This window comes from Homo sapiens, chromosome 1 (assembly GCF_000001405.40).
Source record: "Homo sapiens chromosome 1, GRCh38.p14 Primary Assembly".
NCBI classification, from domain to species: domain Eukaryota; kingdom Metazoa; phylum Chordata; class Mammalia; order Primates; family Hominidae; genus Homo; species Homo sapiens.
The window spans coordinates 94,707,783-94,724,374 of record NC_000001.11 but is presented as its reverse complement, the minus strand read 5'-3'; the positions used below and the strand labels follow the sequence as shown (position 1 = coordinate 94,724,374).

Genomic DNA, 16,592 nt, shown 5'->3' with positions numbered 1-16,592 from the left:
GACACTGAGTATTAGCACGAGGAGGAGGAAGAGGAAGGGTATCTGGCAGTCAGGAGAGGGGGCTGGTGTGAGCTGCCAATTTGGAATGAGCAGCACTGAAAGAAGGGTAGCTGGCCCAGGGAGAGCAAGCAGAATGGGCAGCGAGAAGTGTGGACTGTGCCGACTCTGCAGGGATGAGGCCATGACGGGGAGCTGGGAAGCAAGCTGGACTTTCAAGCCTGGTTAGGGAGTGGAAGGGGAATTCTGGTGTCATCATCAGCATATGAATCAGGCCTCCAGTGCCGGAGTCCAGAAGTAGAGCAAAGACCTCCCCAAAGCCACAAGTCATTGCTCCTGCAACACTGTGGGGCCCCCTGTAAGGTGCAAGATGCGGTGAGAAGAACATAATGTCACAGGGTCCTGCCTGCCTCAGACTGGATTAGGGTTGGACTCCGGAGTCCCAGGCCTCACTACTTGTGAACCCCTTTGTGAAGAAGCTAGAGCCTCATTCTGGGCAGCAGTGGACAAAGGCTCCTCACCACCTTTTAGTGAGGAGTGAGCTAGGGCTCTGTGGAGGCAGAGATCCAAGGACTGCTGCACCTGTGCGGGTCTCAGATGGCGCAGAGATGGAGGTCAGCATTCTGGGAGGTCCCAGGTCAGGCAGGATGCAAGCACGGAAGACGCGAGGCCCTGCCCTTTTCCTCTGGCTCCAGCATGACTACGGCCTTGCTGCCCTGGGCTGTGCCTTGCCCAGGTCTTCCTGGAAGATTTTTCTGGAAGACTTCCCAGGGGCCTCAGCCATAGGACAGAAAGTTTAGAAGAAGCTCCCCACCCCACCCTGGCTCCAGGCCCCAGGATAAGGAAGGCCTGGACACTTATTTCAATGGCACTGGCCCCTCAGGCACTTCAGCTGCTCTAGTGTCCAGAAGCTGTTTCTTCTCAAAAACTTTGCTGGTGCCAGTGTCCTGAACATGAAGCAGGGGCCTCCAGTGTTTTATGGAATGAACAGGTCGAGGTAGACCTGAGAAGTCAAACCTGTAGTGTAGCCACTTGCCTTCCAGAGTTTAGTGCTCAGTACCCCCACAACCCCATCAACAATATACCGACAGTCCCCAACTTAGGATGGTTTGACATACGATTTTCCTTTTTCAACTTTGCAATGGTGCTAAAGCCATGTGCATTGGCTCCTCAACTTATGATGAGCTATGTCTGGATGAACCCAACATAAGTCAAAGAGCGTCTGTATATTACATAAGAGACACATGTGGTTCAACAAATAATCATAAAGTGAATTCCTATGTAAACACCACGTAGGTCAAGATGGGGACCACTTCCAGCATCCCAGAATCTCTCCCACATATTTTGCTGATTTCAATCCTTTGCCTCCCCTAAAGCTACCTACTATTCTGACTTTTGGGACAATTATTTCCATGCTGCTTTTTACAAAGCAACATGGTACAGTGGTGAAGGACACAGAATCTGTAGCCAGAAGACATTGATTCACATCTTGGTTCCTCTACTCACCAGCTATATATCCTTGAGCAAACTACTTCATCCCTCTGTGCTGTTTCTTCATCTGTGATATAAGGATAATGAGAAGATACAAGCTGATAAGGTTGTTTAAAAGATTAAATATGGAAAATGTATATGAAGTGCTATGAACAGTGCCATAGATACAATTGCTGCTCTTTATAGTAAGCCACCTACATATACATCTCACAATAAATATGGTCTAGTTTGCTAGTTTTTGGACTCTATTAAAGGAATCATACTATAAAACAATCAAATAAGCAAACAGACAGACAACAGCTGTGTGTTGAAAGCAGCCATGACTATGGAAGGGAAAGAAGGATGCACCAGTTGCTGAAGTCCTGGAAAGAGAAGGCTGTCATGGTGGGCAGGGCAATGAGGCAAGGATGCAGAGGTGGCACAAACAGAAGATGGACATCTCAGCAGAAGAGTGCAACTGACAGAACCCGGCCTGAGTCAAGGAGTGGAAGGGCCTCTGGGGAGTACAGCCCCCTGTCCCCTCCTTTCCCACCAACCTGCAACCAGGCAGGCTGTGGGTGGGAGGAGGCAAAAGGCTAGGAGGCCGGCTTGAGGTAACAGGAGGGAAGGCTTCCCGGGTCAGTAGAATCTCCACATTAGATGAGGTAGGAAGCCTCTCGGTTAAGAGAATGGCAAACTGGAGCCCCTTCCTTTGTCTCTGCCTACAGAAAGCAACAGATAGAAGATGTTTCTCACAGCTCACGATGTCCCTCTTGTCTGAAATGATTGATTTTAATCATACAAATAATTGATGGAAAATACAGAAGGTGAAAAGGAAGAACAAAATCTGTTCATAGTCCTATTCTACCACATCCACTGTGTCATTTGGGGTGTGTTTCCTCCCAGCCTTTTGTATTCATGAATAGAACTCTAAATTCAATTCTCTTTTGATTTTTAATTGAATTCAGATTAAATTGAGCCAGGTGGAAAAGGGTATCAAGATTTTGCTCCTGAAATAATAACTCTACAGCTGTATTAAAACTATAGGATAGACAATTTTAAAAACAATAGCAACTAATATTTATAGAATGCTTATTATACGCTAGACACTCTGTTCTAAATCTTTCACAGGAATTGTTTTTTTAAATTGATGCAGTAATTAATCAGGGGTTAACCGTAAGTTACTATTATCCCCATTTTGCAGAATGAAGGGCAAACCATGAAACTAAGCACAGAAAAATTGCATAACTCCCAAGATCGCATAGCTTTGGGAGGAAAGATGGGAGCTAGAATACACCTCCAGTGAGTATGATTTTACAGTGTATAATAAGCATCTACAACAGGCTGAGATGAGACTGCATTTTAGTTAAAGTGACAGTTTGTGAAAAGGAAAAGCTTTTTCCTGTAACCCTCCCTCCGCTTCCTCCCCCGTGCTGTGGGGACCACTTCTCCCTTCTGCCCTCTGGTTGCATTACTTCATCTGAGCAGGGTATTTCCAGCTCTGACTGCTAGACCTGACTGTTGCAGGCAATCGTGCTGACAATAATGTTAGAGTACAGCCTAGACAGTGTTCGGAGCCGTGTGGACCTCTTGCTTGGAAAGGAACAGTCCTGCGCTTAGGAAACTCAAAGTGCCCGACTCCCAGCTGCATTCTCTATATGAGTAGAGTTGAGTTGAAAATGTCAAGTTATTTAATAAATTCATACTAAATACTTGGAGGTGGCAAACACTTCAATGAAATTATGTGTTTTTCTTTTGGAGTTATGTATTTCCCTTTTGCTGATGTTCATTGAACACTTATTCTACTCTAGGCCTTGTGCCACGAGCTTTCTATGGGTCTGCCCATTTGGTCTTCATAATGCCCTCAGCTGAGGTTCACTTTTATTTTGAGACAGGGTCTCATTCTGCCGCTAGGGTGCAGTGGTGTGATCACGGCCCTCTACAGCCTTGACCTCCCTGGGCTCCAATAGTCCTCCTGCCTCAGCCTCCTGAGTAGCTGGGACTACAGGTGCATGCCACCACGCCCAGCTAATTTTTGTATTTTTTTGGAGAGATGGGGTTTTGCTGTGTTGCCCACGCTGGTCTTGAACTCCTGGGCTCAAGCGATCTGCCTGCCTTGGCTTCCCAAGGTGCTGGGATTACAGGCATGGGCCACCCACTGCACCCAGCCTGAAGTTCACGTATGATTTCTGCTTTATAACAGGGGAAGTGGAGGAGGTGTGGTAAGGAGCCCACGCTCACATGGCCAGTAAGTGAAGGAGGCCTGGCAAAGGCCACACTCTTGGTCTGTCACCCTGCTGCTTCTCCTCACTTCCTTGTGTAACAGCTCTGTCATCAATGGGCTGTGTGACTGCACACGCTGCTGCACCCCTGTGGCTTTCAGTTTCCCTATCTGTAAGGGGTTGCACTAGATGCTCCCCAAGGCCGAGGTATGTGGGCCTGAGTGCTCTGCATTCCCTGATCAACTTCACTTCATCAAGGGTCTCCCATGGATGTAGCCCAGTTGTGGGCACTTGGGAGATCCAGGAGAAGTAACATCATGGCCTCTGGCTCCTCAAGGAATTTAGAATCCACTTGAGGACATGACTGGTGGCACAAGATAGTGAATTATTAATTTCCCAATGTGTGATTCAGACTAGAGTGTAAGGGTTCTGGAAAGGCAATTGAATGAGTCTTGCCTAGTGGAAAAATTGATCATCCTAAAGGGAGAGCAAATCCTCCTTAACATTTGCTAAAAATTGCTCCTCTGTTAGGCAAGAGTCAGATGCACTTGGGCACATCATCACCATCTGACTCCCAGTCCACCCCAACACCCAGCCCGGGAGCCCTGGGAAGCTGGCGGATGTGCCACATTTCAATGAGACCATGAACCCTTAGAGGGCATGATGGTTTTTTCCTCCACATTATACACTTCCTTATGTTGAAACGTTTTTTCCACAGGGCTGCAGGGAAAGAAGAAGATGTATATTGGTGAAGCACAGCTCAGGGAAACAGAATTAGTTGGGATTGTGGAAAAGTCACTTTGTGAATCAGGGGATAGAGACGCCTCATATGCTGAAGCTGAATTCCTTCAATCCTAAAGAACTGGTTGGGAGCAGAGCACAGTTTGGATGGGTTTGCAGCTATGATACCAGGGAAAAGAACTGCTGGACTCCATACTCTAGCCAGTTTAAACCAGCATTGAAATCTCGAGTGTATTTTAAATTTTCAGCTTGGGTTTGCTAGATGAACTAAAGAGTGAGTCTTAGGTTGTTTTTGCCTTACTCTTGTGGCATCTCAGAGCCTGTAGAGAGTTGGCGTTTGTCCCAGTAGTCTTGGTCTTCCATCCTCTGTCTTGCCCTGTTGGTGTTCCCTAGGGTTCTGTGCCAGCCCTGTTGCTCATCCTAACCCTGCAAGGGGCAATAGCATCCATTTCCAAGGTTTCAATGTTCAGGAACAGGCTGCTGACTCTCCCTCCAAAGGTCCAGTTGAGAACTGACTTATAAGTTCTGAATCCATGTATGTGGCTGCCCTCTGGGCATCTTCACTAGTAGCCCCACAGGTACCTACTTCTCCACTAAACTCCCCAAACCTGCTTCTCCTTCTACACCTCCTAACTCAGGGAATGGCACCATCACTCATGCTCACCATCCCCGGTGTCCAAACAGTCAGCAGTTCCCACCCTATGTCTTTCCAATCTGTGTGGTACCTTGGTTCTGGCCCAAGCATCTTTGTCCTCCAGCAGCCCTCACATAGGTCTGCCTTCCAGAGTTGCTTTCCTACAACCCCTCCACAAAGCAGCTAGAGGGCTTCTATGACACAAATAGGAAGTGCAGCCCCCATCGCCAACACCACTTAAAACTCATCGAAGACTGCCAATTGCTTTGGGGATTTAGCCTACACTCCTCATTTTCAGGTTGCACCTGCTTATCACTCTACTGGGCTCCATGCGTGGGTTTCATGGGACTCCCCCTCTAGAGATGTGTATTATCTGACAAGATCAGGGGATGGGAGAGGTGAAGGTGTTTGATGGGAATTACCATCCCTCCCACCATCCCGCTCTACCGTATTCTCAAATTCAGAACATCCCAACAGAATTCAGCATGCTGTTTCTCATTCTAGTGCATCAGAACAACCTCTCACAAATCAGCAAGAAGACAAACCACCTAAGATACCCACAGACGATCACCAGGGAAAAATACAGAGCCTTTCCCACCCTTCCTGGCCAGAGCTGACTGTTCCCCTGTTAGTCCCGCACTGAACCTTGCCTGAAACTCCCTTATAATAGTTTGCACTATATGGCATTTATTTATTAGTTTATCTCTTTCTTTAAACAATCATCAATTTGGTTCATCTGTCTATCTTCTATGTGTGTTCTATGCAGCACATATCTGCTATGCATGCTATGCACAGGGTGGGCTGAGGAGGTTCTCTGTATATGAATGTGAAATTATTACATCACAATATTATACCTTTTCTCCCATTAGGAGCATTTATTTCATTAAAATGGCTTGTTCTGAAAATATTCCCTGATATTACCAAGGATTAATGTCCTTAATAAGCAATCTGTTCTTATTAACCAATAAGAAAAAGACAAATTCCCTATGAAAAAATTGACCAAAGACATTGGATTCTTCCTTGTCTCCCATGTAAACAATAAAAGCTGCAGGTTGTGGCGAAACAGGTACTCTGATGTACCATTGGTGAGAGTGTAAATTTGTAGACCCTTTTGAGGGCCATTAAGCAATAATAATTCCAAATTTAGAATTTGGTTGATCTCTGACCCAGCAATTCCTGGAACTTGCAGAGATTTGTCCTACAGGAATAATCAGATAAAGACACCACGTTTATGTAAAAGAATATTAATTGCAGGCCAGGCACGGTGGCTCATGCCAGCACTTTGGGAGGCCAAGGCGGGCGGATCACCTGAGGGCGGGAGTTCGAGACCAGCCTGACCAACATGGAGAAATGCTGTCTCTACGAAAAATAACAAAATTAGCCGGGCATGGTGGTGGATGCCTGTAATCCCAGCTACTTGGGAGGCAGAGGTGGTTGCAGTGAGCCGAGATCACGCCATTGCACCCCAGCCTGGACAACAAGAGTGAAAGTCTGTCTCAAAATATATATATATATTAATTGCAACACTGTCAAAATAGTTAAAATGCAAATAATTTGAACTTTCATCAGTATTGGTTTGGTTAAAAAAAATCATGGTGCAGCCATATGATGGAATATTATGCAATTGTTAAAAGAAAAAAAAGCAAATCCCAAGAGATTTATGTTTTTACAAGGAAAGATGTCCGCAATATATTAAGTGAAAGAGGCAGATTGTAAAGCATTTTATCCATCTGCTCATCCATCCTTCCTTTCATTCTTTTATTCTACAAAAGAGGTGAAAAAATGTATATATATATATCAGACCACTAACAGTTTTATCACCATATTGTCACTGGATCAAGTTAGACTTATTAGGGACTTCCACATTCTACTTCATATTTTGGAGATTTTACAAGCAGATATTATATTTATAGTAATAGCAAAAACAATAAATACTGCCAATCTGGGAGACAGTTTTTCTTCTTGCTTATTAAAGGGCAATTTGAGAGACTTTCCTCTGCTAGCATGTGAGAAACTGGCTGCCACACAGGTAATTTCTGAGGGACCTTGGCTTGGTGGTTTAGCTCCTGATGGCAGGTCTCACATCGCATGGATTAGTGCTGCATTTTTAATGCAGTTTTCTACTTACTCTTTAGAAACCACAAGACAACATTTCACAATCTATTTCCACCCAGCAGACAGGAAAAAACTACGCTCAGTTTTCAACTATCAGTGGAAAAGAATTGTTTGTATAAAAGGAATCTACAAATAATAGACACTTTATCCATTCCTTTTTATCTCTTCCACCTACATTTCTCTCAACCATTCTTTTTCACTTGTTACCAAGACCAAAATAAACTGATTTACAATTTCTCTTTTGCTCATCCTCAATGTGCCCTAGGCCTGACTTGTTCTTAGAGAACCCTCTCTGGCTCCTGTTGGTTAATGGTTTCTTTTTAACCAAATCACAACAGGTTAATTAATACGAGTTTACAGTTTTTCTTGGTATTGATGGCGTGCTCATTTGACTATGGCTAATGGAATTTCATCTTTTTCCTTTCTTAGGAAACTGAAAGTACAGTGTACTTTGTCCACCATATTGGTGACTTTATGTTGACTGAACCTGTTAAGATGGAAGGGGCGACAACTCTGGATACCTGTTAGGATTCATGTTTTTTAGAGTGTGGGAGATAAACCCTTTAGGGCTAAAAGTCTGCATCACCTCATCAAGCAAGCCACCTACACCGCCAGAAGTACTTGCTGGGAGTGGAGGGATTCTAGAAAGAGTGGCAGAGCAGGGAGATGATGAATATCAGCCACAGCCAAGGGACCACTGCAAAGGTTTATGTTAACCACTCACACAAATTTATGTAAAAGAATATTAATTGCAACATTGTTAATAATAGCTCAAATGCAAGTAAGTCAAACTTTCATCAGTAGTGGCTTGGTTAAATGAATAATAATAAATCAGTGGCTTAGTTGAATAAATCATGGTATGCAGCCATACCATAGAATATTATGCAATTGTTAAAAGAAAAAAGCAAATCCCTAGAGATCTAAGTTTGATCCCTAGAGATCAAATAAGTTTGACTTATTTGCATTTTAGCTATTATTAATGTTGCAATTAATATTCTTTATATTCTTTTTTTTTTGAAATGGAGTCTCACTCTGCCACCCAGGCTGAAGTGCAGTGGTGTGATCTTGGCTCACTGCAACCTCCACCTCCCAGATTCAAGCGATTCTCCCACCTCAGCCTCCTGAGTAGCTGGGATTACAGGGGCGTGCCACCACGCCCAGCTAATTTTTGTATTTTTAGTAGCGACAGAGTTTCACTACGTTGGCTAGGCTGGTCTCGAACTCCTGACCTAAGGTGATCGGCCTTCCTCGGCCTCCCAAAGTGCTGGAATTACAGGCATGAGCCACTGTGTCTGGCACAATTAATATTCTTTTGTAGAAACTTGTGTGAATGGTTTACATAAACTTGTGTGAGAAGAGATGTATCTTGTCTCACTAACTCTTATCTTGTTAAGTTTTCCCCCAGAAACTGTGAGTGTCCACCCTCTTGAAGGCGCAGTGGCGGAATGAAGTTCACAGAATGGAAGATGTGAGCTGGTCTGAGTGATGCAAGGGGTGGTCTTGGGTGGGCTCAGTTCCTGCTCCCTCAGAGGCCTTTGGATCTATTTTTGCTGTTTCTGTGAACTCCGCCAGTGCTTTTTGGTGCTTTTGCTTCAAACAGCCCCATACCCGTGACTCTCTTTGGAAGACTGCCATCTGGTTACTACACTGCTTTGCCCACAGGTGCAGAGCCCAGACATGCCAGGAAGTTTCCATCTTTTTAGGGCATCCCTTAGCCAGAGACCAACAGTTTAACGCCACAAAGCCCAGCTCCCTTGTCTCCATGGGGACAAACTCAGAAATCTCACACACTCCCTTGTGAGACCTTGCCTGCAGTTGCACCCTTGCTTGGCTTCTTCTCAGTCCCCTGCCGACTTGCCCCATTCCCGTACCAGACCCGTTTCTTTGGGAGCTTGTCTTTACTAAGTCACTTGCACAGGACCCTTCCTCTCAGGATCCACTTCTGGGCAATCCTCACAAATAACAGACAAATGATAATAGGTAGCATTCACTGAGTTTGACCATGTTTCAGGCACTGTGATAAGAGCTTTTTACATGCCCTGGTCCACTTAGTCCTCCAGAATTCCATCAGGCAAAGCAGGTGCAATTATAGCCTCTTGGCATAGTTTAAACTTGGGACTGCAGACCCTGGTGCCTGACTGCCTGGGGTCAAATTTCAGTTCTCCTAGTTACTAGCTGTGTGGCCTTGGGCAAGTCACCTATTTTCCTCACCTGTAAAATGGAGATAATAATAGAATCTACTTCACTGGTTTGCTCTGATGAGCTAAAGTGAGCAAGGCATTGAAATGCTCTGTAGGTATTTCCTAAATGAACAAATACTTCACACAGTAGGCCATGGAGATTTACAAAGATGAAGGCCAGGCATGGTGTAATCTCAGCACTTTGGAAAGCCAATGTGAGAGGATCGCTTGAGCCCAGGAGTTCAAGATCAGCCTGGGCAACATAGAAAGACCCCGTCTCTACAAAAAATAAAAACGAATTAGCTGGGCATGGTGGGGTGTGCCTATGGTCCCAGCTACTCAGGTCGAGGCTGCAGTGAGCTATGATCATTTCAGCCTGGGCAACAGAGCAAGACTCTGTCTCAAAAAAAAAAAGAACTAACTTGCTCTAGTTCACCCAGCTAAAGTTGGCAAATTTGGGGCTCAAATCCAGGTCTGTGAGATTTCAAAGCCCAATTTCTTGGCTATGATTCTATGCCACTTCTGTTCAGTACCACTGCCCCTTCTTGGGCCTTCATATCTTTCAAAAGGACCACTTTTCTCCAAGTCTCCCTGCCCATTGCTGGCTTGCCTTTGCGAGCATCAAGTCCTCCCTCAGCAGAGGGAGACTGGGTCTCCCCGCACTGCCCTGGGATGGAGGCAGCTCTCTACGCTGCTGGATCCTGCCTTGTCCTGGAGGGGCCACCACATATTCATTCTTAAGGGGACTTCTCCGCAGGCTATACTTTCTTCATTTCATCAGCTCACTCCCCGCCAGCAACCCACCAGAAAATCAGAGAGAGAATTTCCTTTGCTACTGGAGTAATAGCTTATGAGTACCTCTTTTCTAAATCAAAAACTCTATTCTCTGTTTTCCCAATTGCAGAGGTAAGTGGTAAATGGGATAATAATTTAAAACATATGGAAACATGTGAGGAGGAAAGGAAGTGAGAAAACTCTCACTTGCTGCCCATATGGCTTTTCTGAGTTTTTTAAATCCACCCTGGCCTTGACTCACTGGGGCCATCACAGGGCTTTGGGATGACACACCTGGCAGGCCTGGCCAATGTCCTTATAAGGCAGCAGCTCTGCGGGGAGTCAGCTGCTTCTCTGGCCTGCGTGTCAGTCGGGCGATGAAGCAACACCCCTGAACTGGGAAGGGCGGGGAGCAGTTTGCTCCTGATTCTCCATAGCCCCACTCGGGCAGCCCTACTTCCTTTTTTGTCGGGTTGAAAGTGAAAAATTGAACTCTGGGAGAACAGAGAGAATAAGGCCACTTATTTCCTTTTTACTTATATAGCAATATTTATTGGGCAGCTGCTATGTGCCAGGCATTTTAATCTTACCAGCTCACTATCTACAAGAAAGGGAAGAGATTCAGTTGTAGTGCTCAGATCTAACCATGCAGTTTCTCTCATATATGTGTGTGTGTGTCTGTGTGTGTGTGTGTGTGTATATGTGTGCAGGCCAAGGGGGTAGGGGGTGTCTTAAGCTCCCTTCAGGTCCCAGATTTGGGAACAGCAGTATAATGAAGAAGGGACATTTACCATTTAATGTCATACTTACCAATGTACCAAGCGTGGTGATTTACATACATCATCTCATTTAATCCTCAGGGACTAAACATCTACTATGAAGTAGGCGTCAGGGGCTAAAGCAGAATTTCCTTGAAATGTCTACCTAGGTTTATCTTGCTTTTCCCCAGATCCCAAAGTCGGCCAGCATGAGGCCCAATGGTTTATATACATCTTAACCTCAAAGGGTGTTTTCTGTTTCAACCTTAATACTTACAGCTCAGATCTGTCACCAAGGTTTGCTTCCAGTTCAGATTCTCAAATAAACTGTCCTGGCCAATGGCAAATTCTTGACTCCCTGGGCTGATCTGTCCCCTCCCAGGATGCCCACAGCCAGCCACCAAGGATTCTGGATCCCTGAGAATTTGCTGACTCTATCCCCCCACCTTACCTGTCTTGAGATAATCTAACCTCTGGGCTCCCAGGTCATGCCCCCACTCCACCTCCCTCAGTTTGTCTGCTCAGGACCCAGCTGCTCTGCTGGGTGAAGGAGCCAAGACCTAGTTGATACCCCAGGGTTTCCAAAGAATCTTACCTCGTTCGAAGAAGGGATGCTGCAGACTTGAACCACTTTAGGACTCAGTCTAGATTGAGTTCCCTGTGCTATGTTCTTTCCTATTTCCTCTTTCACAGCCCTCAGCATGGGTTTCTCTCTTGGACAGGTGGAGACAATTCCACTGGAAGAGCTGGAAGCATACCTAGATGGCTTCTCTGTGTTTGAAATGTCAACCACCCTCTCCTCTCCAAATTTCCCCAACCTCATCTCCCTCCATCTTCTCCTTGCTTCCTCCATTGTGGCCACATCGGTCTCCTTTCCACTCCTTAAGCCAAAATCTAGGGTTGCCAGATAAAATACGGGATTCCAAGTTAAATTTGAATTTCAGATAAACAACATGTAATTATTTTAGTATAAGTATTGTTATGGTTTGAATGTGTGTCTCCTCCACAATTCATGTTGAAACTTAATTTCTAATGTAATAGCATTAAGGAGCGAGTCCTTTAGGTCAGTGGTCCCCAGGCTTTTTGGCACCAGGGACCAGTTTTGTGGAAGACAATTTTTCAACAGGTTGGAGGGGTGGGGATGGTTTGGGGATGAAACTGTTCCATGCTAGATCATAGGCATTAGTTAAATTCTCATAAGAAGAGCACGACCTAGATCCCTCGCATGCATAGTTCCAGTAGGGTTCCTAGTCCCATAGAGAATCTAATGCTGCTGCTGATCTGACAGAGGGTGGAGCTCAGGCCGTAATGCGAGGGATGGGAAGTGGCTATAAATACAAATGAAGCTTCGCTTGCTCGCTTGCCCCCACCTCCCGCTGTGTGGCCTGGTTCCTAACAGGACATGAACCTGTATTGGTTGGTGGTCCAGGGCTTGGGAACCCTGCTTTAGGTGATTAAGTAATGAAGGTGGAGCCCTCATGGATGGGACTGGGGCCTTATAGAAGGGCTTGAGGGAGTGGGTTTGCCCTTCTGCTCTTCTGTTCGGTGACACACAGTGTTCCTCCCCTGAAGAGGACGCAGCAGCAAGGTGCCATTTTGGAAGCAGAGACTGGGCCCTCACTGGACACCAATCCCAGCTAATTTCTGTTCTTTATAGAGGAACCAGTCTGTGGTTTTGTGTTACAGCAGCACACATGGTTAGACTAAGACAAGTGTGTTCCAAATGTTGAATGCGACATATACTAAACAATCCCTTTTCTTGTTCATCTCCTCTTGTTTCTCGTCCTCCTCCTCCTGTTTGTTAACTCTGCAACTCTAGGCTTAGCTCATTCCCACACTAGGGATGTTCCTCCTCTGACGATGACATGATTTTCTCCTCTCTTCGACTCTGGCCTCTGCCCAAATACCTTTTCTTCAGGAAGGCCTTCCCTGATCTCACATCTCAAATGGGAGCCCCATCACTCCCCATTCCCCTTCCTCTTGTCTTATTTCCCTCACTGCTTTATCCTGCCTGACTTTACCTTGTTTTTGTTTGTTTGTCCTCCACTAGCATGGACTCCTCAGGAAGGCAGGGATTCACGTCTGTTTTGTTCACTGCCATTTCCCTAGTGGCTCATAGGGCCTGGCATAAAATAGGCATCCGAAAACTATTTGTTGAATGAATGGATTATTCTGCAAGATGAAGAGAGAAAAATTTGGAGTTTCCAGGTCAGCCCAAGAAAGAGAAGATTGGAGAAGAAGGCTATAAAATTACTGGGGGAAGAGAGGAAGGACAATGGTAAAGGAGAGACAGAGAGAGAGACAGACAAAGAGACAAGTTACTTTCTGAGACCTTTCTGAGTCTGAAGGTATGTGAGCTCAGAAATATAGGCCTCTACACAGGCTGCTAGGTTGCATCTCCAAGGAGAAGAGTACGATGTAGAATTTCAAAGCACAGGCTTTGACAACCCAGACTCAACATTTGTAAAGCACCTAACAAAACATTTGACACTTGGCAAGTGTGTATCAGAAGGCAGCCGCGAGTACGTCTCATTGACAACTACACCCCTAATGATGAAATTCACACTCATCCATTGCCTCTTTGATTTTAGCTGACTTGCAGCTGATGGCTATTTTTCAAAAGCAAACAATTTTTTTTGTTTTTGTTTTGCTTTTAAATTGTCACAGGAGGGTTAGGGTGCCCACAGGGTGATTAAAAAATGTCAAGCCAAGTACACTGTGAGCCATGTGACTCCCAAGCTGGCCTCATCGAACGAGGATTCAAATTCAGCCACAGTGCAGGGATAAGTCACTACACTCAGGGGCCTTTGAGGTTTCTAGGATATAGTTGAAGCTGCAAGTGTTAAACCCAGGGGTGTCAAGGGCCCATGTCTCTGAGCACACAGGACAGGGTGTAGTTGTTAGTGCTGAAGCCAGTCCAGCATGACGTTTGCTAGCTCTGTGATACACAGCCTCACCTTTAGACCTCACATTCTTCCTGTGGAAAATGGGATGACAATTCCTGCTCTGTCTTTCTTACAGGTTTGGATGACCATAAAATTAAATAGGGTATGACAAAGAGCTTTGGTGACTGTGAACTACTATATAAAGCTTAGGATCGTCATGATGTCATCAGCATTGTCTGCAGGGGTGGTCTTGGCTGGCTGACTATGGGTTGCCAATCCCATGGACATCTTGGTGTCCTCCACGCCCTCTTCTCGGCGCCAGGGTAAAATGCCAATCAGTGACGTGTCCCTGTGGGACTCAAATGACACAAGATGATCACCCTCTGGAGCTCTAGCTCTGCATCCTTGGGTCAGGCCAGCAAGTGCTGCCAGATGTGCACCTCCCAGTCCAGCAGCCACTGCAAAGGCAGGAAATTAGCACCAGCTCTGAGTAAACATCTCTGTTCTTTAACTCAGCACTTTGCTATGTTAGTAATTAGCTACACTTTTCCAGGACTAGACACCACACATGACAAGTCCCACGATCCCCAGTACCAGTGAGACAGTCACGGCCTGGGCAGGCTTCAGCCCCTCTCCTGTCCCAGCCTCAGCAGTTCTGGCAAGTTCTTAGATGGCAGCACATTCCCAGAGCCAAATGATGCATCCTGAGACAGACAGGCAGGGAGAGGATGCACTGGTGTCCATGGCCTTGGCCCATGATAGCCTGCAAAGCCAGTTGCCCCTGAGAAGCAATTTTTCTTTCTCTCATTTGGATGCTTATTGGCCAGAGCTGTCCTCAAACTGCAGCAGGCAGTATCCTTGCCTTAGGACCTGCAATTTCATGCATTTATCAGACAAATATGAACCGAGTGACTGCTAGGTACTAGGTGCTCAGAACGCGTCAGTAAACAAAACAGATTTGAATTTCCCTTCCTTCATGGAACTTAAGTTCTAGTGGTGGGAGGAGGACAGAAAACAGTAAATAACTAGATTTTGAATTGTGTTAGCAGATGATAACTGATGTGGGAACTTAGCAGGTAGAAGGCAACACAAGGTCAAAGAAGCCGGGGATTCCACCTTGACTAGGGAGCTCAGGGCAGGCCTCACTGAGAAAGCACCACTTGCATGAAGGAGGTGGGAAAAGCCTTCACCTGGGGGAAGAGCCTTCCAGGCAGAGGGAACAGCCAATGCCAAGGCCCTAATGCCTTGGCCACTGCCTGGTATGTCCAAAGAACAAGGAGACCTGTGCCAGCGGCTGCAGCTGAGTGAGCCAGGGATGTAGGAATGTGTAGAGGGTGGTTCTGGGAGGTGGCAGCAGGAGAAAAGTGGCTCAAAGTCAGCTAGTGGTACCATCTGGATTTGGTTTCGGGGCCTTGAAGCCTACAGAATTTGCGGACACTTTCTTAAGAATGTAAAGTTACAAAAACGAAATTAGACACAGGGCTCTGGAAAGGCAAGCGAGGGTCCCTGAAACCTATGTTCCTTCGCTTCCCTCTAGTGGAGCCCTGGACCTGAGGACGGTGCTGGGAGGGTCCCACCCACCACAGAGCCTCCTTCCCTCCCTCCTTCCCCTCCGATGTTGCCCTTCTGTGACTTCTTTCCTCCCTCCAGACTTCCTGTGACAGTCATCTCAACCAGAGTTTGCACAGATGGACATGGGGACAGAGGGAGGAGGTGAGGGACCACAGTAAGGCCCATCCCAGGCCCACATTGGTCAACCTCCAGCCCTCAGGGACAATGCGGACAGTGGGGTGGCCGGGAAGTTCCTCCTGAGAGGGGAAGGGTGGGAATCACCCCGCCACGGAAGACATTTCTCCCTTCTTGGTGGTTCTGTTCCCACCCAGGGAAAGAAACTAACAGGGCAAGGCACACATTTAATATGAAAGCAGGCTCAGTGTCCTCTCTCAGGTCCCCACATGGTCCTTCAGGAAGTAGCTTCAAGGCACTGGGGCCCCAGGGAGATGAGCAGTGAGACTCTCTCTCAATCTGGCTGGGCGAGTTCCACTCAGGGAGGCCCAGACTCTGCTTCAGAAACCTGGAAGGAGTTTGCGGGGGAGTGGAGCAGACAGGGAGAGGAAATAAAAGGAATTATCCTCTGAGCCCAGTTATTAAATATCAGCAGAGGGGAAAGAAATTCAGAGTAGGTAGGAAACTCAGGCTAGGCATGTTTCATCATGTACTTTCTCTATAGGATGTCTGCTAAGGGCCTGGTTAACTACAAACCATGCATTTTTTCCCTCCCTCCCTCCCTCCCTCCCTCCCTCCCTCCCTCCCTCCCTCCCTCCCTCCCTTCCTTCCTTCCTTCCTTCCTTCCTTCCTTCCTTCCTTTCTTCCCTCCTCCCTTCCTTCTTTCCCTCTCTTCCTCTCTTCCTCCCTTGTTTTGTTTCTTCTTTAGGGAGAAAATATGCCATTCAAAAGTGCCCAGTGTGTGCACACACTCTCTTTTTCTTTTTTTAAAATTTAGCCTTGACTTGAAATTCAGAGTATGCATATTTTTTAAAAATTGTGATAATTTTTTTAAAAAGATGCCAGCTGCTAATTCCACCTAGGTAGAGACATTTAAACAAGTTTGGCTATAATACAGGAATTTTGATGAATTTGTTTAAATGAGATTCTCATTATAATACAATCCCTTGCTGTCTGGAAGAAATAAGTCAGTCTAGAAACATTTACAGAACAGCTGCTATATGCAGGGGTTTTTTTTAGGTCTCATGGGGTGTTCAAGAATGTTGATTCCAAAGTCTCACTCCTCCAGGGGTGTCCCGTAGTCAAGAGGT

The 16,592-nt window shown here is 46.1% G+C and overlaps 1 long non-coding RNA gene across 7 annotated transcripts in view, besides 4 other annotated features; it reads left to right on the top strand.

The window, feature by feature from the left end:
• SLC44A3-AS1 (SLC44A3 antisense RNA 1) overlaps positions 1-16,592 on the top strand; it is a 203,881-nt gene that overhangs the window by 95,858 nt on the left and 91,431 nt on the right. The gene's annotated exons all lie outside the window — the stretch shown is intronic.
• Positions 621-1,122: an enhancer, noted in NCBI's record as "H3K4me1 hESC enhancer chr1:95188809-95189310 (GRCh37/hg19 assembly coordinates)". NCBI's record gives its function as "activates a minimal SCP1, AML or CMV promoter by ChIP-STARR-seq in naive H9 embryonic stem cells {active_cell/tissue: H9 hESC(naive)}" and the evidence as "EXISTENCE:reporter gene assay evidence [ECO:0000049][PMID:30033119]".
• Positions 3,673-3,962: an enhancer, noted in NCBI's record as "active region_1348". NCBI's record gives its function as "activates an Ori minimal core promoter by ATAC-STARR-seq in GM12878 lymphoblastoid cells {active_cell/tissue: GM12878}" and the evidence as "EXISTENCE:reporter gene assay evidence [ECO:0000049][PMID:35858748]".
• Positions 10,350-10,399: a silencer, noted in NCBI's record as "silent region_1098". NCBI's record gives its function as "represses an Ori minimal core promoter by ATAC-STARR-seq in GM12878 lymphoblastoid cells {active_cell/tissue: GM12878}" and the evidence as "EXISTENCE:reporter gene assay evidence [ECO:0000049][PMID:35858748]".
• Positions 11,826-12,783: an enhancer, noted in NCBI's record as "H3K27ac hESC enhancer chr1:95177148-95178105 (GRCh37/hg19 assembly coordinates)". NCBI's record gives its function as "activates a minimal SCP1, AML or CMV promoter by ChIP-STARR-seq in naive H9 embryonic stem cells {active_cell/tissue: H9 hESC(naive)}" and the evidence as "EXISTENCE:reporter gene assay evidence [ECO:0000049][PMID:30033119]".